Consider the following 21,923-nt stretch of genomic DNA (forward strand, 5'->3'; position numbering starts at 1 on the left):
GCTGGGGTTTCTTTTTTTCCACCTTCAGAACCTGTGAAAAGAAGTGACTTTGGAATGTGGCTTCTGTCAAAACAGAGTGACTGATGATACAGGGAGGCAGATGGGCACGCCAACTGACACGCGAGCCTCTCCAAGGTGAAAAGTCTTTAAACTCTGAGAGAACAAAATCACTTCACCTTTAAGAACTGATGCTAAATCTTATCTTTCACATGATTCAAACAATAATGGTATTACTCTCTTATACATAGGTAATAATCCATGAGGAAAAACACCAGGTCTGTTTTGCTCATTATTGCACGTCTAGCACCCAGGGTAGTATTTATGAAGTCTTAATAAATAGTTAACACTTAATAACATTTCGTATCAGTCTGTTCACAGTCTGTTCACATTAAGCAAACAAGAATGTGACACTATATTAGCATTATTAATCAAGGAAAGATTTAGGAATATCAAGAAATGTTTGCTTGAACAGTAATATTACTGTTTAAGAAAATGTAAAAGAAAATAAAAATGCAAAGGAAGAAATTTTTTTCCGACAAGACTATAAGCACACCATCATAAAACACATTACAGAACAAGAGAAGGAAAAAAAATCAATCTAATGGGCCATTTTGTCCACATGCCTGTGGGCTGTCAACCATGTTTATTAAGCAGCTGAAAAGGCACTCCTAACCAAAGCAATAATGGGAAAGTATAATAAAAGATAAGCCATATGTGTAATACATATGTTTCCATAAGACTAAAATTGTCTCGAAGGAGACACAAGAAAATGTGGTAAGGAGTAGGGTGGGACAAGATGGCATATTTTTTGTTTATAACCTTCTAAACTGCTTTGATTTTTCTTTTCTTGTTTTTTACGAGTATATATTGTCAGGCCTCTGAGCCCAAGCTAAGCCATCATATCCCCAGTGACCTGCACGTATACATCTAGCTGGCCTGAAGCAACTGAAGATCCACAAAAGAAATGAAAATAGCCTTAACTGATGACATTCCATCATTGTGATTTGTTTCTGCCCCACCCTAACCGATCAATGTACTTTGTAATCTCCCCCACCCTTAAGAAGGTTCTTTATAATTCTCCCCACCCTTGACAATGTACTTTGTGAGATCCACCCGCTGCCTGCAAAACATTGCTCCTAACTCCACCGCCTATCCCAAAACCTATAAGAACTAATGATAATTCCCGCCCTTTGCTGACTCCTTTTTTGGACTCAGCCCACTAGCACCCAGGTGAAATAAACAGCCTTGTTGCTCACACAAAGCCTGTTTGGGGGGGTCTCTTCACATGCACACGTGAAACATTTGGTGCCAAAGACCAGGGTCAGCGGGACTCCTTCGGGAGACCAGTCCCCTGTCCTCATCCTCACTTCGTGAAGAGATCTACCTACAACCTCAGGTCCTCAGACCAACCAGCCCAAGGAACATCTCACCGATTTTAAATCGGGTAAGCGGCCTCTTTTTACTCTTTTCTCCAACCTCTCTCACTATCCCTCAACCTCTTTCTCCTTTCAATCTTGGCGCCACCCTTCAATCTCTCCCTTCTCTTAATTTCAATTCCTTTCATTTTCTGATAGAGACAAAGGAGACACATTTTATCCGTGGACCCAAAACTCCGGTGCCGGTCACGGACTCGGGAAGGCAGCCTTCCCTTGGTGTTTAATCATTGCAGGGATGCCTCTCTGATTATTCACCCACGTTCCTTTGGTGTCTGATCTCCATGGGGACGCCTGCCTTGGTCATTCACCCACATTCCCTTGGTGGCAAGTCAACTGCGGGGACGCCTGCTTTGGCTGCTCCCCAACCCCCTTCTCCGTGTCTCTACCCTTCTCTTTAAACTTGCCTATCTATAGCCTCTCTAGTGAATTCTCATCTACTTAGGAGTTCTCAGCTAGACCTCAGATGCTACAAGTAAGCTCAAGTCTACACTGCAATCCCAAATTCCTTTCCAGAACTCCACATTCGCATTTCCACCTGCCTTCTACATAGCTCCACTTAGACTTCATGGGCACCTCAAACTCAACAAGTCTAAAGCTGAACTTCTTCTCACCATCCTAACCCTCCCTCTCAGTTAAAACCTGATACTCCTCTTCTATTACCTATTTTGGTCAACAGCATCACCATCCAGTCTACCCAGTCTCCCAAGTTTGGAGTCATCTTTGGCTCCACCTTATTTTCTGGCTTCCAGATAGAATTAGTAATGACTTTCTGTGCTTTAGTCCAAGAGCTTCCTGTGGGGCACGAGAGAATTTTAAGGAGGTTGAAAAGGTTTGTTTCTTTTTTTTTTTTTTTTCTATTGACAGCATCTCACTCTGCCACCCAGGATGGAGTGCAGTGGTGTGATCATGGCTTACTGCAGCCTCTACCTTTCAGGCTTAAGTGATCCTCCGGCCTCAGCCTCCCAGGAAGCTGGGACCACAGCACAATAAGAGATTAACATAAGATAACATAAGATTAATACAATAAATATTTACTGATTTATTGTAGAGATGGGATTTCACTACATTGCCCAGGCTGGTCTCAAACTCCTGGGCTCAAGCTATCCTCCTGCCTTGGTCTCTCAAACTGCTGGGATTACAGGCATGAGCCACTGTGCCCAGCCTAGTCTACAAGTTTATTCAGATTTTGTCAAACGTCCTAATGATATCCTCTATAGCAAAAGAAAACCCTGGATTATATGTTGCCTTCTGTCTCTTAAGTTTCAGGAAAATTTTTTAAAAATAATTAAAATAAAACAGTTTTTATTGCACTGTAAACTGACTCAGAAGAAATGATCCTGAATAAAGGTTTCAAGAATCCCATGAAAGGACAGGGAGTAACTATGTTATAATCCAATAACAGTGAAGTAATTATTAGGAAACAGAAGCACACATTTCTGATATGAATACAAAATCACAAAAGCATAATTTCCTTAAGCAAATAAGCACATTCCAGCTGCATGCTACAGCAGGATAACAGAACCTGCCCAGCTGGTGAATGGTTTGGAACTTTATTTTTAAAAACTTAATGTCTAATGTGAACCACCCATTATTCTTCAGCAATCAAAGAACTGTTATCATGCTTTGTCCATTAAACGAACCCTATTCATTTTCAAGTGCTATGTTTCTGTTGCTCCTTAAAATCAGTTCTGCTGAAACTGTCCTTGCAATTTTACTGAAATGTACTGGCCTCTCCCTACTGCATATCACACATACTAGAGAGAACAGTTTGGAGCTTTACACAAATCACATAGGCTATACTGTGCTCTGAATGTGTATGTCCAGAAGTGTCTCCTTTTTTCAGCAGGGAAATTCTGAAAAGTAGAAGTCCATAGTTTTTCGTGTAGGCAGCATAAATTCCTTAGTTTTTGTCAGTAAGTATCTCATGTGGAATGGAATGAAAAATGTTTCCAAAACTAGCTGTGAAACACATTTATATTTTGACATTACCATTTTGCTATTGAAAACCCCCAAAAGGAGATCTTCAAGCATATATGGAGTGGAACATTTCCATTTCAGTTCAGTGGCATCCTGTACACACTGGGCACTGATGTCTGCCCAGGAGTTATCACACTGGCCACCCAAGCCTCCGCTGTAACACTTTTCCATCTCTAGATAAGCATCACGGTGTAAGAGATGCAAGAGCCTGAAGACTGGAGTACAAGTGCAGCTCTGCCACAAATTCTGCATCTTCATCTGAGTTCTCCTCCACTGCTGACACGTTCTGAGCCTGTAATACCATTCCCTCCACTCTGCCCCCACCACGTGCTCCAGTCTGGTTTTGTGGTGCACACCACTGGAGAGGCAATCCGGTTTGTGTCAACTTCCCTTCTCTGGGAATACTCCCTGATATGCAGGGATGCGCCCCTGGTGGTCACGTGTATGCTTTGTTGTGACTATATTTCCTGGACCATAACTGATTGATGCAGCACAGACACCTCTGCCGAAAGAAATCCAACAACCCTCTTTTATGGGGATTTAAAATGTCAATGGGGAGAGAGTCTGAAGGGCAGTGGGTCTCCAATGTCCTGAAGAAAGGGTTCACAAACTCCTGCCACTGAGGTCCCAAGAGCTGTGCCAATTCCTGCCTTTCTGAGACTTGTTCAATTTCATCCCCCATCCCATTTTTGTATACCTATCATCCTTCCAATAAATCACTCTTTGCTTAGTTTAACCAGACTCAGTTTCTGTTGCTCTCAACTAAAACAGTTAACAGATAATGATTCTATATTAAAATCTCTTAGAATTTCTTTTCTATATTTTTATTGGGTATTTATCATGTTAGCAGAGCCTGTAAACTTTAAGGGCTTCAAGAAATTTTTAAAAAATATTTCCCGGCCAGATGCGGTGGCTCACACCTGTAATACTAGCACTTTGGGAGGCCAAGGCGGGCGGATCACCTGAGGTCAGGAGTTTGAGACCAGCCTGACCAACATGGAGAAACCCCATTTCTACTAAAAATACAAAATTAGCCGGGCGTGGTGGTGCATGCCTGTAATCCCAGCTACTCGGGAGGCTGAGGCAGGAGAATTGCTTGAACCTGGGAGGCGGAGGTTGCGGTGAGTCAAGATCCTGCAACCACATTCCGGCCTGGGCAAAAAAGCAAGACTCTTTCTCAAAAAAAAAAAAAAAAAAAAGGTAAAATGACAAAGTCATGCACACACATGCTAATCTGGAAAGCTATAAATCAAACTGAAAACACTGGTTATCTTGTAGTGGAATGGCTGGCCACTTTGACTTTCTACTTTAAACATTTGGCCTATTTATTTATTTTAAAGAGACAGGGTCTCACTCTGTTGCTGCCCAAGCTGGAGTAGAGTGGCGTAACCATAGCTCACTGTAACCTCAAACTCCTGGGCTCATGTAATCCTCTCACTTCAGCCTCCAGAGTAGCTGAGACTATACAAGTGCCCGCCACCATACCTGGTTAATTTTTTTTTTTTTTTAGATGAGGTTTCCCTATGTTGCCCAGGCTGGTCTTGAACTCCTGGCCTCAAGGAATCCTCCCAGTTTGGCCTTCCAAAGTGCTGGAATTGCAGGCATAAGCCACCATGCCTGGCCCAGAACAAACTTATTCTTATGTCATGTTTGTGGCAACAAAAATTCAAAAAATAATGAGACTTCCAGGTTAGCTTTAATAGAGAGAGGCAAGCTAGTGCTTTCACAGTAACAACTAGATAAAACTAAATAGATTATTCAAATAAATAAATGGCTTTAAAGATTGAAGAGCTGTCTTCTATGCATAGCAAAGAGGACTAGCAGAATTAAAATTCCAGAGGGAGAAGAGGCCTCTCTAGGTGAGCTGAAAGTGCCAGCCATTTCCTCTCTCTACTTGTGGTACTTGTAGAGCTTTAGCGTGAGTGATGATAACTGGGGCTTGCCATAGGCAGAACTCCATCAAGAGAAAGAAAAACCAGCAGAACTTATGACAGCTATATGGGTTGGCATGACAGACTAAATTTCATAACAGCCCTAAATTTATGGCCAGTTTTCTACACAGGACATTCACCTCCAGGCTGGAGGCCTGAACTAGAAAACCAAAGTGAAATTAAGCACAATCTCACAGTGCTTAGCAGATAAAGCTAGAGGGAGTGGCCTGTAACAAACATACAACGGATCCCACTCTTGGGATACTACACCGAACTGAAGGACTTAAATCTTCAGCCCAGTCCAACTCAGTTGTTTGGATAGAGGTGTTTTATACCTCATTGTATCTGCCTAAGACTGCAAAATGCAAACATTAACTTTAGACTCTAAAGGTCTTTACACACATTGTCTAGAAATCGTCAAAAACTTCTGCTGCCTGGCGCAGTGGCTCACGTCTGTAGTTCCAGCATTTTGGGAGGCCGAGGCAGGCTGATCATGAGGTCAGGACTTCGAGACCAGCCTGACCAACATGGTGAAACCCTCTCTCTACTGAAAATACAAAAATTTGCCAGGCATGGTGGCGCACGCCCATAATCCCAGCTACTGGGGAGGCTGAGGCAGGAGAGCCGCTTGAACCCAGGAGGCAAAGGTTGCAGTGAGCCAAAACCGCGTGCCACTGCACTCCAGCCTGGGCAACAGAGCGAGACTCTGTCTCAAAAAACAACAACAACTTTTGCTTTCCCAGGAGGGAGGGGACTGTGTGTGTGTGTGTGTGTGTGTGTGTGTGTACAGAATACAGCAGTCTACATGTTCACCTTCTTGCATCAGCACTGCTGGCCTAGGGAATCTCTCACAACTTGATCATCCCTCCCTTTAATTTCACATGCCCAGAGAAGTGGAGATTTCTCATGTTCAATTTTTTAACATTTTCAAAACTACAAAAATAATTTTTCAACATTAAAGTCTCTTCTAGGAATCCAAAGCCCTATTCCACCGAGAAACTCAAAATCAACATAATCATTTCATTTTTTTTTCCACTCATTCTACAAATACTTAATTTCTATCTATATGTCAAGAACTGTACTCTAGGCTGGGCACAGGAGCTCACGCCTGTAATCCCAACACTTTGGGAGGCCAAGGCGGGAGGATTGCTTGGACCCAGGAGTTTAAAACCAGCCTGGACAACATAGTGAAACCCTATCTCTACACAACATTTTCAAAAGTTAGCCGGATGTGGTGGTGCATGAATGTAGTCCCAGCTACTGGGGAGGCTGAGATAGGAGGATCTCCTGAGCCCAGAAGGTTGAAGCTGCAGTGAGCCATGATGGCGCCACTGCACTCCAGCCTGGGTGATAGAACAAGACCCATCTCAAAAAAAAAAAAAATTGTACTCTATATTTCATGAAACAAATAAGAGGTAAGAGGTAATCCTTGTCTTCAAGAATTGTGCAGTATTTTGTTTGTTTGTTTTTTTAAGAGAAAATGGATGTAAATATAAAAGGAAGTAAGGAAATCATTTTAAAGAATATCACCTAAAGGAATTTATATTTAATATGTAAGACGAAAAACACATACAAAGTAATAAGCATTTCTCTTACAAATGTTTCTCAAGCTGTCTCTTCCTCCTCATTTGACTGACAAAATCAAGGAAAGTAGATTAAGCAATTTGTCAACAGTCATGGGAAAGCTAAATATCAAAGTTGGAACTAGAGTCCAATTATTTATAGGTTGGTGCAAAAGTAATTGCCATTAAATGGTTTCCGCCATTAAAAGTAATGGCAAAAGTAATTACTTTCAATGTCAAAAACCGCAATTACTTTTCCACCAATCAATACATTTTCCATTTGCCATTCCTTAGTTTATATTGCCTGAGATTTTCTTTTTTTATTTTATTAATTCCATGGCTTTCCAATGAATTGAGATTTTCTAAGAATCAAATTTTCCTTTAATTATTTCAGAGGTACTACAACTTAATCTGATTGTTTTAAAATAATCAGTGGCTTAATATTAGAATTTTACTGCAAATTCATCTTCCATACTTATTTTTGCTATTTAAATAATTAGCTATTTTTGTTATTCATGTTATTAGCTACACTTACATGGAGACAAATGGTTATATGGGTTTCCTCTACTAAGAAAATGGGTTTCTAGGAAATGAGGTTTCGCACCAACTAATTTAGTTGTCCTGGAAATAACCTGCTTGCCTATGTAAAAGTCAAGCTTATACAGGAGGCAATAAAGACACTACCCTTTAGCACAACCTGCAGAGCTCTCCAGCACATGGTGGACTGCAGTACAACCAGGATCACAAGCCCGGTTTCTCAGCCCAGCTTCTTGGCATTTGAAATCAATGTGAGAAAAGAGCAGAGGAAAGAGCTGACACGTTTCCCCTTCCTTGTAGCACCAACCGGCGTCTCACAGCTGAAGCCCTTGGTAAGACAATGGAGAGGGTGCCGCAAAAGTCACCACTGGCCCCACTGCCCTGTAGGGAGAGCTTAGGGAGAGGTGATGAAGCATATCAGAGTGTGCCAGACCCCAGGACCTTCTCTGGCCTCTTCCTACTTCTCACAAGCTCTCCCCTCACGCTAGTAAGAACATTCAGTAAACCGCTATTGTTTTAAACCACTTGCAAACCTGATACACTATAAATTAGGCTACGGGTTTCTTTAACAGCTTATGTGTCACCACAATCCATTTCTTACTTATGTCTGTAACATTATTTTAGGGAGCTAGTTTTTGTCAACCAGCAGAGTATGTATGAAATATGACACAGTAATTATCATCAAAAAAATAGAAATAAAACTGTATTCAACATCTAGCTTTATCAAAACTTAAGATTTAGCTTATATGCTTTAGATCTTTTTTCCATTAAATAAAACATTAAAGTTATTCATTCAATACTTATTGAGTCCCTGCTATGAGCTAGGCATGATCTGAGCACTAGAAATACACTCCTGTGAGAGAGGCAGACAACAGATAAGCAAATAGATATACTGTATCAGATCACACTGCTACAATCAGAATAAAATCGTGGAAAAAGAGCATTTTAAACAGGGTGGAGGTAAGGTGTAAGCAGATGGACTTGGAGTAGGGAAGAGAACTCTGTGAAAAAGCTTTCCAGGCTGAGGTAACTGTAAAGGCTAAAGCCCCAGGGACCCCAGGCGTGGTAGGTCACGCCTGTAATTCCAGCACTTTGGGAGGCTGAGACAGGAGAATCATTTGAACTTGGAGGCGGAGGTTGCAGTGAGCCGAGATCACATCACTGCACTCCAGCCTGGGTGACAGATTGAGGCTCCATCTCAAAATAATAATAATAATAATAATAATAATAATAATAATAATAATAAGGCCCCAGGGAGGGGTGCTTGATGGCAATGTGTTTGGGGAACATCAGAAAGCCCGGATTGGCTAGAAAGCAGTGACCTGGCAGGATATGAAGTCAGAGAGGGATGGGAAAGTTCATGGTGGGCCTTGTAAACCCCATTTTGTATTCTGTTATTAGTGACAGGAGGCCATCAGGACAGTGTCAAGATCTGACATGTTTAAGTAGTTCTCCAATCCTTTTAAGAAGTCTGTCCTGGGGAAATGCTATATTTCCTTTCCTCCTCAGAAGAATTGGGAATTTGGTGTTTATCATTCCCCTGTATTTTTAAATACTTTCACTATATAAACACATGGCCATAAACAATGTAGTATTCTCCTGCATGTATTAGTACTGCATTCCTTCAGTAGTATTGCTGAATAATATCCTTTTATATGGATATACCATATTTTATCTACTCATCAGTTGATAGACATTTGGATTGTTTCTACTTTTTGGCTATTATAAATAACGTGGGGCTAGACACAGTGGTTCACGCCTGTAATTCCAGCACTTTGGAAGTCCGAAGCGGATGGATCACTTAGGTCAGGAGTCTGAGACCAGCCTGACCAACATGGTGAAACCCCATCTCTACTAAAAATATAAAAAATTAGCTGGGCGTGGTGGCATGTGCCTGTAGTCCCAGCTACTCGGAAGGCGGAGGCAGGAGAACTGCTTGAACCAGTGGGGTGGAGGTTGCAGTGAGCCACACTGCACCCCAGCCTGGGCAACGGAGTGAGACTCTGTCTCAAAAAAAAAAAAATTTTGCCACTCATGGTGGCATATGCCTGCAGTCCCAGATACTTGGGAGGCTGAGGTGGGAGGATTGATTGAGCCCAGGAGGTGGAGGCTGCGGTGAGCCATGTCCTGCCAGCCTGGGTAACAGTAACACCCTGAATCAATCAATCAATCAATCAACAATGCTGCTATTATAATTAATATACAAGTTTCTGCAGGAACATATGTTTCATTTTTCTTGGGAGTAGAATTACTGGGCCACATGCTAACTCTATGTTTAACTGTTTCCTAAAGTGGCTGCATCATTTTATAATCCCACCAGCAATGTATCAGGATTCTAATTTCTCTATATCCTCATGAACACTTAATACCTGGTTTATTATTTTAGCAATCCTAGTGGTGTGAAATGGTATCTAACTGAGGTTTTGTTTTGTTTTGTTTTGTTGAGACAGAGTCTCACTGTCGCCCAAGCTGAAGTGCAGTGGCACCATCTTGGCTCACTGCAACTTCCACCTCCTGGGTTCAAGCGATTCTACTACCTCAGACTCCCAGAGTAGCTGGGATTATAGGCACACACCACCACACCCGGCTAATTTTTACATTTTTAGTAGAGACGGGGTTTCACCATGTTGGCCAGGCTGGTCTCAAACTCCTGACCTCAAGTGATCCGCCCATCTCGGCTTCCCAAAGTGCTGGGATTACAGGCGTGAGCCACGGTACCTGGTCATATACCTTATTATTTTTTAATTAAATAGAGATGGGGTCTCGCCACGTTGCCCAGGCTGATCTTGAACTCCTGGGCTCAAGCAATCCTTACACCTTGGCTTCCCTTAGTGCTGGGATTACAGGTATGAGCCACTGTGCCCAGCCCTTAATACCTATTTTTTGGAGTAAGACTGGATCACACCCATAGTATCAGTACAACCGCATATTTCACTGTACTTAGAAATTATCACAAAATAGTCTGCTACAGTGGCTGTAATCCCAGCACTTTGGTAGGCTGAAGCAGGAGGATGCTTGTGGTCAGGAGTCTGAGACCAGCCTGGGTGGCTGGGTGCGGTGGCTCACACCTATAATCTCAGCACTTCAGGAGGCCAAGGCAGGAGGATCGATTGTACCCAACAGTTTGAGATCAGCCTGGGCAACATAGTGAGACTCTGTCTCCCTCTCTCTCTGTCTCCCTCTCTCTTTATATATATATATTTTTATTTATTTTTGTTTGTTTGTTTAAGTAAAAAAGAGACTAGCCTGGGGAACATAGTAAGACCCATCTCTACAAAAAAAAAAAAAAAAAAAGGCCAGGCATGGTGGCTCAAGCCTGTAATTCCAGCACTTTGGGAGACTGAGGCAGGCGGATTACAAGGTCAGGAGAGCGAGACCATCCTGGCTAACATGGGGAAACCCTGTCTCTACTAAAAATACAAAAAAAAAAAAAAAATTAGCCGGGTGTGTTGGTGAGCACCTGTAGTCCCAGCTACTCGGGAGGCTGAGGCAGGAGAATGGTGTGAACCTGGGAAGTAGAGCTTGCAGTGAGCCAAGATCGCGCCACTGCACTCCAGCCTGGGTGACAGAGCAAGACTCTGTCTCAAAAAAAAAAATTAGCCCACTGTAGTGGTGCACACCTGTGGACCCAGCTACTTGGGAGGCTGAGATGGGAGGATCGCTTGAGCCCGAGAAGTTGAGGCCGCAGTAAGCTATGACTGTGCTACTGCAGGCCAGGCTGGAGCGAGACCCTATCTCGCCAAAAAAAAAAAAAAAAAGAAAGAAAAGAAATTAACGGAAAGTAGCAGATGGATTTACAATAGACCACATTAAAAAACAAACCTCCGGCTAGGCGTGGTGGCTCACGCCTGTAATCCCAGCACTTTGGGAGGCGGAGGCAGGTGGATCACCTGAGGTCAGGAGTTCGAGACCAGCCTGGCCAACACTGTGAAACCTTGTCTCTACTACAAATGCAAAAATCAGCCAGGCGTGGTGGCGCATGCCTGTAATCCCAGCTACTCAGGAGGCTGAGGCTGGAGAATCGCTTGAACCCGGGAGGTGGAGGCTGCAGTGAACTGAGATGGCGCCACTGCACTCCAGCCTGGGCGACAGAGTGAGACTCCGTCTCAAAAAAAAAAAAACCTAACGCAGAGATTATCTCAATGTTTTATGATCCCACATTAAACATGTATTATTTCTATAATGAGAAGTAAAAATTATTTTTTTAAAAAAGGAAGAATAGCTGCCTCAAGCTTTGCAATAAAAAGTAGTCTTAAAGACAAACTTAAGATAAATTTTCTAACAGTAAATGGGTCAAGAGCAAAGGACTTACTTTTTTATCGGTCACAAATTGTGAATTATATTACAGAAGCTTCTCAGAAACTACCCAGAAGGGAACTGACTTTGAGTCCACAAACCATTTATTTAATCAAGTATGGCACACCCACTCAGAATGCAAACAGTGCCTCTACCCATCCCTCTGAATTGCCTATTCTACCAATAAACACTGCTTCTTTCTTCCAAAAACTGAATCTAATTAAATCAACCAATTAACTGTCTTGCTCAAAGCGGTGCAAATTTCTATGGCACATGGGCAAACCCTAAAAAGTGGGCAAGTCTGACTTTTCTGAACATCCTAGTTCTAAAATACTATCTTAAGAACATAGCTGCTTACACATTTCCCAAGAATTCCTGTTAAAGAAAATTCCTGAGTATCTCAAATAACTCTGGAATTCTTCAGATGCAGCTATGTAAGAATCAAGATATGCTTCCCCTTAGAGTGAAAACTGAAATGAAAATCTTGTCCTCCAAGTTGTAAATTACATTATTTCTGAAAAGCCTTCAGGTATCTGAGGTATCTTATCAGGATCTGCTAAATCTAAATAGATATATGACTATTCTAACTATTTCTACTGTTCTAGCCTCATAACTATCGTCTCCTTTTCCTTAACTATCACATATAAACCCCCAGTTACTGTTTCTCCCTCAGTGGAAACAAAAGCTAGTAGCTATTTAGTAAACCAGCTTTATTAGTTATTTATTTGCCTCCTCCTAAGAAGCAAGACTAACACTTTGTTCTTTCTACTTTGCTTATTATTTAACATAAGAACACAACTTTTGCCCCAATTCCTTGAGATAGAATTTTTTATTCTGTAAGCCAGAGAGCTCTCATCCTTCTAATATCTCATTAAAACTACACCCAAAGGGAAAAAAGTTAGGGTCAAAACTGTCTCAAAGGTAGATAACTTTTTTTCTTTCACACTTATTAACTAACTCAGGAAAGTAAAAGGAAAACCTAAATCTCAAAACTTCTATAAAGAAATGGAAGCTCTTTTAAAAAGAGCTGTTAACGTGAAGTTTTAAAAACAAACACACAAACAAACTACTATATTTCAGGTGCAACCAAAACATGGCATTTATTTCATCAAATGTTAAATCCACAGGAAGAAATTTGGTAATTAAGATCATGGAATAATAATCCAATTTGCTATAGAGAAAAACTTGCTGCAAATCCCCTGGAGATCTTTAAAAACAGTACAGAATTTTCTATCAAGACTGATTTTAATAAACTCCTACAAAGAGATAAAGGACTGAATTAAATAAACTCCCAAAGGTTCTTTCCAATGCTAATGTAAAAGTTTCCCTCGGGCAAATTGCCACACCTTACCTCAAATAAAGGTTTGTGCTCCTCCCACTCATCTGAATAGCAGAGAGGAAAAATTACTGCTCTATTGTTCAACTGTTACTATTGTGAAAACTGTGTGTCTACTGTCATCACTAAACAGCAATGTGTGATTGTTTCATAACTCCTTAACACAGCATCTAGCTCATCAAATTCTAAACCCAAATCCAAGAGTTGTTCTTTTACTATACACATTCATTCATCTCTTCAAGCACAGAAACATACTCTTGAGAGTGTAAAGTGATCCTAGACGTTTCTGACTTCTCTCCTGTTCATTAAAAGACATGGTGGGAGATGTGAGGAAAAGAATTTACATCTCAACAATGTTATACTCTAAATTCATATTTTAGTAAAAGCATGACACACAGCTGTATGCGTATTTTTGATGGCACAGTTGGCAACATTTCCCCCCCAGAAAGAGGGGAAAGATAGGTAGAGGTTGGAGCACAAGCACATCGCTTTAATTAAAAATGAAAACAACTTTTAAAAAATGTTAAGATATTGTATTGCTCTCATGTAGTTACCAAGATCTCTCTTTTGTATAAGAAAGAAAAATATTCACAGACAATATTCCTCCATCTGAGAGTGTAGAAAGCTCCAGATCTGAAGTCTGTATTAAAAATACTGGTGAGAAGTAGTTTTCTAGAAGGGATACTGCAGCCCTCACAGCATTCCAACAGACCGTTCTTCCAAATGCCACCAATGTGCCTTGAGTGAAACTTTTACAAAACATGTCCCCAAAAGTCAACCAAATGTTATTCATACAGATTTTAAAATGTCATGTTAGTACCTTGATATTTCTTCACCTTATTAGTTGGCAAGCTCTGAAGAAATATCATTCTATAAATGCTAAATTGTTAGAGATTATGGGAGAAAGGTCCTTGATTTCCTACTAAATCTGAACATAACTCATAGGGATTGAAAGAAGCATTTGAACACAAAGCAACGCTGAAGTGTGAACACCTTTCTCTTGACTTCCTTTTTCATTTTAAAAAATCATACCGGCCAGGTGCAGTGGCTCACACCCGTAATCCCAGCACTCTGGGAGGCCGAGGCAGGCGGATCACGAGGTCAGGAAATCAAGACCATCCTGGCTAACACAGTGAAACCCCGTATCTACTAAAAATACAAAAAATTAGCCGGGCGTGGTGGCGGGTGCCTGTAGGCCCAGCTACTTGGGAGGCTGAGGCAGGAGAATGGCGTGAACCTGGGAGGTAGAGCTTGCAGTGAGCCGAGATCGCGCCACTGCACTCCAGCCTGGGCGACAGAGCGAGACTCCATCTCAAAAAAAACCAAAAAAACAAAAAAAATCATACCTCGGCCTGGTGCGCCTGTAATCCCAGCACTTTTGGAGGCCAAGGCAGGCCAATCACCTGAGGTCAGGAGTTCGAGACCAACCTGGCCAACATGGTGAAACCCCATCTCTAATAAAAATACAAAATTTAGCCGGGCGTGATGACGGGCGCCTGTAATCCCAGCTACTCGGGAGGCTGGGGCAGGAGAATCGCTTGAACCCAGGGGGTGGAGGCTGCAGTGAGCCGAGATCGCGCCATTGCACTCCAGCCTGGGTGACAAGAGCAAAACTGTCTGAAAAAAAAAAACAAAAACAAAAACAAAAAAAAAATCATACCTCAATGAAATTCACCTGCAAATGTATTTTCTAACTCCTACCCGTTAAATTTCCCTATTACATTCTATACCACAACAATTTTGTCTTATAAGTCGTTTACATTGCTAGGAAAACGACAAACTATTCCACTGCTTATAATGAGCTGACTGTTATCACTTCCTCCCTCACACAATTATTTCTTTAAAAGTGAAAACAAATCTTTTGATCTGTGTATTACTTCGCTTTGACACCTTACAACTTCAGGGGAGGTCAAGTCTGCTTTACTTATTTTTCCCCTCAACTCAGTCTCAATATCTCAACATGACCTGGAAAAATGCTTTATTTTCTGCTTCGCAGCAAACAGTAACAGACCTATCCATCATAACTACTCATCTGGGGAGTAGTTATGTTAAAGCCAAATTAAGATCACCATCCTATCAAACTGCAACAGTCACACTCCCGCTAAAGGGAAACAGAGTACTTTCTAAGCGTTCCTTAATATCTGTACAAGACTTAAACGTATTAAAGTCAACTGCAAAATTATCGCAACACTCTCTTCCAGGAACACCGATCTTGCATCTTTTTAACCAGCTCATCTTTAAAAACACATTTCAACAGAATATCTGTCAGTCCAGACCACTGTAAGGTTGATAATAAGCATTGTCTTGAATTTAGAACTTTTCAAAATATTTTAGAACTGCCTGAACTTGGTTGATGATTCAGCATGGTTAATTAGTATAGAGTCATCGCAAGTCACCACCAGGCTAAACAATCCCCTTGTGTGATAGCACTCGTGTTCAGGAAAGGGTCGAAGGGGCCACCTAATCCAACCTGGAGCCTGGGGTAGAGTCTCACCACCGGCAGAGTTAAGAGAATGATGCTTTCGAGGGACCAGCTTGGATTCCCTGCCAGATCTATGGACCAATGTCCTGGTTGGGGACTGAACGTGGTAGTCCAGAATGTGGTTGGGAGAGGCTGGGTGTGTTTCCATCTGACACCACCGCCTAATTTTCTTTGCTTCTTAAGGACCCCATGGGTGGTTTTCTTTGGACGACTGCAGGACTTTAAAAGGAAGCAATAACCTCAGGGGTTTGAGAAGGGACCCTCCGGAGCCCTTGGGCGGCTCCCACTGGAGTCCGAAGGGCCCCTCATCGCTTCCCCTGGGGACAGCACACACTTCTGGCAGAATGGGGCAGAGAAAAGTACCCGGAGCTCTGAGCAGAACCCAGAGCTCCGGGAGTAAGACCTCCAGGCGCGGAGAGGTGGGGAGCCCCCGAGCCGTCCTTGAGCCTCCAGGCTCGTGGAGGTCGGGCCAGCGGCCGGACACTGCCGCCCACACCTGCGAACGGCGCCCGCCCCGCGGATTGCCCAGCGGATGGCCCGGAGACCTCGCCCCGCCCGGCCGCCCCTCCGCCAGTCCACACCGCCACCCCGGCCCCGCCGCGCGGGCCCCTCGTACCTGGCCGGCGGCGGCTGCGGCTGCGGCTGCAGCGCTGCTCCTCACGTACCCGTTCCGTACTTCCCCGTTCGCCACGCAGCCATTCGCCCGCACCGTGCGGCGGCAGCAGCAGCCTCCGGGCTCCGGCCGCATCTTCCTGGCAGCACCAGGCGCAAGGCAGGCTCTGTAGGCGGTGGCAGCGGCGGCGGCTGCTCCAAGTCCCGCTCCGCACCCCACCCACCTCCCCGAAACCGGAAATGGCTGCAGCGCCGCCGCCAATTCCCGGGCGGGCCTTCACAGAGGGCGGGGCCCTCTCCGCAGAGGACCGGTCTCGGCCAAGGCCACGCAGCGAAGGGAAAAAGCGGCGGGGACCTGCCGAGAGGGATGTGGTCCTGAGGACCGCTGACCAATCTGGAAGAGAAGGAGGCGGACCCCATGCTGCTGCCTGGCCAATCACGGACGAGAGCAAAGCGCCTCGCCGGTGGAGAGGGGGCTTCTCTAGAGGGACTCCAGGGCCTGGCACCTGATTGGAGGCCGCATCCAGGTCCGGGGTAGGGCTTGCCTGTTTAATGGTCCAGACCGAGGAGGAGGCGGAGCCCAGGGAAAAGTAGCCAATTAGAGTGTGAGGAAATAAAAGGGGCTGAGCCGAAGTCTCTAGAGCGGGTTCCCAGGTTCTCCAGGACAGGTGGCGCCCTCTTTGCCCTTGCCTCGTGGGAAGTTTTGGAGTTTATGTCCTAGCCCAAGACAGGCAGCTCGCTTATTTAATTAGCTGATTCCTCTGTGAGTGTTTATAGAATAGATTTTTTGACAATCTCTCATCATTCTTCAATATGCGCCACACATTCACTATTTCTGAATTATTATAAGTAATAATTCAGATGCCTTTTCACGTGCCCTTCACATTTGCCCTTGGCAGGGTTTTCTATACAGTCTCCTTTAAATTAAGTCTTTCCTTCAAAGTTAGAAAACCTGGTCTAATTCCAACTCTGCCAATAACTGGAAGCTAAAACTTGAGCACTGTGTTTAACCACTTTAGAAGCCAAATTCTTTAAAATGGAGTTAATACTTCCTGCTTCATAGACTTACAGCAAGAATTATATCATTAACCCATTATGCACCTCTTATAATACTAGGCTTATAGTAGGAGTATAATAAATATTATTTTCTCACCCTTTTAGTTCCATCTTCCCATGGGGTTAGAAAGCAAGGAAATTGATCTACATTACAATTAGAGACTTTCTGTTATCCATAAAGAATTTAGTATCATAATTGAGAGTATGGACTCTGGAGTCGGTCTGGGTTTTAAATCCTAGCTGCGCCACTTACTAGCTGAGTGACCTCTATGTGTCTTCATCTGTTCAGTGGGGACAATAATAGTTGTCGTGAAGATTGAATAAGTTTATGTATGTAATGTATTTTGTACAGGACCTAGCAATTAGTAAGCATTCATTAAGTGTTGGTTACTAGTAATTGCTAAATGCACCTATGAGAATCCGTGCATTCTTTCCCCACCCTGCAGGAGCTTTAGAAAGGAGGTCCACAAGGTATTGGTTTTGCATGACTTAGGAGCTGAATAATCTAACAGAAGGTGGGATCATTCATCCCACACATCCTATTTGAGTTGACAAACACTATTGATCCCAAAGTGAATATACATCTGTATGTATAAGGCTAAAAAGGAAACATGTGGCTGTGCTTCATGGAGCTTACATTTCAGTGAGAGACAAGATATACACATAGAAAGAAAACAATAGTTAAAGACCAACCTAAGGCTGGAGAGATTAGGCAACAGGAGTTCTGATGAGGGAAGCTGAATGGCAGTGATGAGTCTAACCAGGTAGAAAGTTTTCAGGGCAGGAATCTGGATGGAAGCAGGGCTAAGGGATTTAACTGAAGCTTAGGGAGTGAGCTGAATGACTCTGGAGAAGGCTTGCGAGGAAGATGTGCAATGAGACAGATCTTGGAAGATGAGCGGGACTTGGAGAGCTGGAACTGAGAAGGATGGGGAGGGTGTTCTGAGGAAACCTTCAGAAACTCGGGTGTCGAGTCTAGAAAGATCAAAGCCTCACCTGCAGGCTAAGAGGAGTAAAGGAGTCTGGCTAGATTTGAGGAGTCCTGTTAGCCGATCCCTCCTCAGGGGGCTGGCCCCTTGTCTTGTTCCGCCACTTACTCACTATGTATAGTCTTGGACAAGTAATGCAAACTCAGCCCTGGTTTCCTCACTCATCTTACAAAGTGTGTACCTGTACTACTTACCTTACAGGCTTCTGTGAGCATCAGTGATATACAGATGATCTGATTACTTCACATGCCATTGCTAAATCACAAAAATGATGCTGCAGTAGGCAGTAGGAAACACCCCAGACTCCATGTAAACAGGAAAACAACTCCTTCCAGAAACATAAGCCGCTTAATCATCATTTTACAGTGTTCATATGCAAAGTTCTGTGCTAGGCACCAGGAAGACAACCCTTCTCTTCCTTCAAGATTGCTCAAACCACTTCAACTGTGAAGCCTGTTTTGAACCCCAACCTCCCCACAAAATTAGTTGCTTTCTCCTCTGTGAGCTTTATACACACCTGTGTAAGCATGTATCACACTGCTTTGAGATTCTTTGAGAGGGAGGTTACACAATGCTTAGAAGCAAGAGCTCTGCAGTCAGATATACCATAATTGAAGACCGGTTTCAGCACCTAGAATCCTTATGATTTAGGCAAAGCTGCCTAACCTCTCTATGACTCAGGTACTTCTTCTGTAAAATGGGATATACCTCATAGAGTTGGAGAATTAACAAAAGCATTTAGTGCCAAGACCTGTTACATAATATTAAATGAGTGTTGGTAATTATTCATTGGATAAATGAAGTACTTATTAAGTGAATGAATGATTGATTGAATACATTTATACTTACAATTAGGCAACAAGCTTGGTGAGTTGAGGGGATTGTCTAATTTATCTTTGGGTTCCCAGTACCTACCACGTGTCTGTCACATAGCAAATGCTCAATAAATGTTTGATGAATGCATAAATGGATAAATGAATTAAAATTTGGCCTTGGCTGGACATGGTGGCTCACACTTGTAATCTCAGCACTTTGGGAGGCCGAGGTAGATGGATCACGTGAGGCCAGGAGTTCGAGACCAGCCTGACCAACATGGTGAAACCCCGTCTCTCCAGAAAATACAAAAATTAGCCGGGCGTAGTGGCACATGCCTGTAATCTCAGCTACTTGGAGGCTGAGGCACAAGACTTGCTTGAACTTGGGAGGCAGAGGTTACAGTGAGCCGAGATTGTGCCACTGCACTTTAGCCTGGGTGACAGAGAGAGACTCTGTCTCAAAAAAAAAAAAAAAAAAAAATTTTGGCCTTGTCTCCAAGGAACCTTCTATCACATGGAGACTGTGTTAATTGAGGTTCTTTGGTTGCAGATAACATAAGCCAATTTTAAAAAACTTATTCAAGAAAGGTAAATTTATTGGAACTCTCCTGAAGACAGGGAAGTGTTGGCACTCAGGAAAATCCTAAACCTCAGCAGCAGAAAATTATAGACCTTCCTTCCTCCTAACCAAACCACTTCTGGTGCTTAGCTCTCAACAACCTACAACTTTCATATTCATGAGGTCAAACTTCTACACTCTCAGGAAAAAGAAATCTGATTGGCCTAGCTTATGGTGAGGATGGGTAAATCTGACCAATCGCAATGGCCAGAGCACAAGGTCAAACTGCTGGAGGGGAGGAATCAGTTATAGACAAGGAAGAATCATAGCAGAGAAGGGAGGAACAACCCTAACAGTGTTCACTACAAGGAGATAGAACCCGGGAGTGAAAAGGACAAATAGCAATAGCTTAGAATGGATGTTAAAGAAGGAGGCTGGCGGGTGCAGTGGCTCACACCTATAATCCCAGCACTTTGGGAGGCCGAGGGGGTCGGATCACCTGAGGTCAGGAGCTCGAGACCAGACTGGCGAACATGGTGAAACCCCCATCTCTACTAAAAATACAAAAATATTATCCAGCGTGGTGGCGGGCGGGAGGCTGAGGCAGGAGAATCGCTTGAACCCGCGAGGTGGAGGTTGCAGTGAGCCGAGATCGCGCCATTGCACTCCAGCCTGGGCAATAAGAGCAAAACTCCGTCTCAAAAACAAAAACAAACAAACAAAAAACCCAAACAAGTAGCCAAGCCTCAGGCAATCACAGAAGCCATACTTCAACCACTCAACAGGCAGCCAACTGTTCAGTGTTCAAATAAGGCAAATGCCAAGCTATAACCATTCCAACTGTTTCTGTGTCTCACTTCTGTTTTCTGTATGTTGCTTTCCTTTTTCTATTCATAAATCCTGTCTCACCATGTGACAGTGCTGGAATCTCTCTGAACCTTCTGATTCTGGATGGGGGCTGCCCAATTTGAGGATCATTATTTGCTCAGTTAAATTCTGTTAAATTTAATTTATTTCTTTTTTTCTTTTCTTTTCTTTTCTTTTCTTTTTTTTTTTTTTTTAGGATGGAGTTTCGCTCCTGTTGCCCAGGCTGAAGCGCAATGGCACGATGTCGGCTCACTGCAACCTCTGCCTCTTGGGTTCAAGTGATTCTTCTGCCTTAGCCTCCCAAGTAGCTGGGATTACAGGCTCCCGCCGCCACACCTGGCTAATTTTTGTATTTTTAATAGAGACAGGGTTTCACCACATTGGCCAGGCTGGTCTTGAACTCCTGATTTCAGGCGATCCACCCACCTAGGCCTCCTAAAGTGCTAGGATTACAGGCGCGAGCCACTGTGCCCGGTCTAAATTTAATTTCTTTGAATTTTTTCTCTTAGCAACACCCCTGCCAAAATAAATGACTTCTAACTACCCCTTCCATTGTTGGGTCACTTGGTCAAGAGTCAAATACTGGAGAGAATATCTGCTTGTTTGAGTTTACGTCGCACTGGTCCTAAAAGGTGCAAACAAAAGGAAAAAGTGTCCTTCACCTTTCATGATGGGAGGTGCTTACCAAGACACACCCTCTTAAGAAGAGTACGTTAAATGAGAAGAGATGATTTCCCAAAGGGAAATGGGGGACTTAATAGAAAAAGGGAATGGACACTGGGCAGGCAGAAATGGCCAATGTCCTTTATATCAGTCAAGGCTGCAGATGAATCACAAGATAGAGTTGTGTATTGTGGTAGGCACATGTAATCTTAGCTCTTCAGGAGGCTGAGGCAGGAGGAACACATGAGCGCAGGAGTTCAAGACCAGCCTGGGCAGCATAGCAAGACCCCATCTCAAGAAAAAAGAAAAAAAAGAAGAACCACAAGATGGAATGGAAAGGGCCCTTCAGAAGTAATCTGCTTTTGCACAAAAACCAGAGATAGATGATGCAGAGGTATTATTTGAACCTGACTCTGAGAGCATCATTTGGTCTTCCCTTTTCTTTTTCTTTCTTTCTTTTCTTTTTTTTCTTTTTTGAGATGGAACTTCACTCTGTTGCCCAGGCTGGAGTGTAGTGGTGTGATCTGAGCTCACTGCAATCTCTGCCTTCTGGGTTTGAGCGATTCTTGTATCTCCCAAGTAGCTGGAATTACAGGTGCATGCTACCATGCCCAGCTAATTTTTGTATTTTTAGTAGAGACGGGGTTTTGCCATCCTGGCCAGGCTGGTCTTGAACTCCTGACCTCAAGTGATCCACCCACCTTGGCTTCCCAAAGTGTTGGGATTACAAACATGAGCCACCATGCCTGGCCTGGTCTTCCCTTTTCAAACTTTTCTTGCTTCATTCATTCATTTATCTATTAGG

The 21,923-nt window shown here is 43.2% G+C and overlaps 1 protein-coding gene across 2 annotated transcripts in view, besides 11 other annotated features; it reads right to left on the reverse strand.

The window, feature by feature from the left end:
* SPTLC2 (serine palmitoyltransferase long chain base subunit 2) overlaps nt 1–16,363 on the reverse strand; it is a 110,641-nt gene extending 94,278 nt beyond the window's left edge. For both annotated transcript variants that reach the window (NM_004863.4, XM_011537384.3), the window contains exon 1: nt 16,174–16,363. In NM_004863.4, the coding sequence (NP_004854.1) occupies nt 16,174–16,305 (132 nt within the window). In that variant the 5' untranslated portion in view covers nt 16,306–16,363. The remainder of the gene's footprint in view (nt 1–16,173) is intronic.
* Nucleotides 5,938–6,437: an enhancer, noted in NCBI's record as "H3K4me1 hESC enhancer chr14:78072555-78073054 (GRCh37/hg19 assembly coordinates)". NCBI's record gives its function as "activates a minimal SCP1, AML or CMV promoter by ChIP-STARR-seq in primed H9 embryonic stem cells {active_cell/tissue: H9 hESC(primed)}" and the evidence as "EXISTENCE:reporter gene assay evidence [ECO:0000049][PMID:30033119]".
* Nucleotides 7,252–7,753: an enhancer, noted in NCBI's record as "H3K27ac hESC enhancer chr14:78073869-78074370 (GRCh37/hg19 assembly coordinates)". NCBI's record gives its function as "activates a minimal SCP1, AML or CMV promoter by ChIP-STARR-seq in naive H9 embryonic stem cells {active_cell/tissue: H9 hESC(naive)}" and the evidence as "EXISTENCE:reporter gene assay evidence [ECO:0000049][PMID:30033119]".
* Nucleotides 7,531–7,620: an enhancer, noted in NCBI's record as "active region_8806". NCBI's record gives its function as "activates an Ori minimal core promoter by ATAC-STARR-seq in GM12878 lymphoblastoid cells {active_cell/tissue: GM12878}" and the evidence as "EXISTENCE:reporter gene assay evidence [ECO:0000049][PMID:35858748]".
* Nucleotides 7,641–7,700: an enhancer, noted in NCBI's record as "active region_8807". NCBI's record gives its function as "activates an Ori minimal core promoter by ATAC-STARR-seq in GM12878 lymphoblastoid cells {active_cell/tissue: GM12878}" and the evidence as "EXISTENCE:reporter gene assay evidence [ECO:0000049][PMID:35858748]".
* Nucleotides 7,754–8,253: an enhancer, noted in NCBI's record as "H3K27ac hESC enhancer chr14:78074371-78074870 (GRCh37/hg19 assembly coordinates)". NCBI's record gives its function as "activates a minimal SCP1, AML or CMV promoter by ChIP-STARR-seq in naive H9 embryonic stem cells {active_cell/tissue: H9 hESC(naive)}" and the evidence as "EXISTENCE:reporter gene assay evidence [ECO:0000049][PMID:30033119]".
* Nucleotides 15,620–15,829: an enhancer, noted in NCBI's record as "active region_8808". NCBI's record gives its function as "activates an Ori minimal core promoter by ATAC-STARR-seq in GM12878 lymphoblastoid cells {active_cell/tissue: GM12878}" and the evidence as "EXISTENCE:reporter gene assay evidence [ECO:0000049][PMID:35858748]".
* Nucleotides 16,010–16,209: a silencer, noted in NCBI's record as "silent region_5976". NCBI's record gives its function as "represses an Ori minimal core promoter by ATAC-STARR-seq in GM12878 lymphoblastoid cells {active_cell/tissue: GM12878}" and the evidence as "EXISTENCE:reporter gene assay evidence [ECO:0000049][PMID:35858748]".
* Nucleotides 16,010–16,690: a biological region, named in NCBI's record as "NANOG-H3K27ac hESC enhancer GRCh37_chr14:78082775-78083307".
* Nucleotides 16,158–16,690: an enhancer, noted in NCBI's record as "NANOG-H3K27ac hESC enhancer chr14:78082775-78083307 (GRCh37/hg19 assembly coordinates)". NCBI's record gives its function as "activates a minimal SCP1, AML or CMV promoter by ChIP-STARR-seq in naive H9 embryonic stem cells {active_cell/tissue: H9 hESC(naive)}" and the evidence as "EXISTENCE:reporter gene assay evidence [ECO:0000049][PMID:30033119]".
* Nucleotides 16,350–16,399: a silencer, noted in NCBI's record as "silent region_5977". NCBI's record gives its function as "represses an Ori minimal core promoter by ATAC-STARR-seq in GM12878 lymphoblastoid cells {active_cell/tissue: GM12878}" and the evidence as "EXISTENCE:reporter gene assay evidence [ECO:0000049][PMID:35858748]".
* Nucleotides 16,730–16,789: a silencer, noted in NCBI's record as "silent region_5978". NCBI's record gives its function as "represses an Ori minimal core promoter by ATAC-STARR-seq in GM12878 lymphoblastoid cells {active_cell/tissue: GM12878}" and the evidence as "EXISTENCE:reporter gene assay evidence [ECO:0000049][PMID:35858748]".

Source organism: Homo sapiens, chromosome 14 (assembly GCF_000001405.40).
Source record: "Homo sapiens chromosome 14, GRCh38.p14 Primary Assembly".
In the NCBI taxonomy this organism is placed as follows: domain Eukaryota; kingdom Metazoa; phylum Chordata; class Mammalia; order Primates; family Hominidae; genus Homo; species Homo sapiens.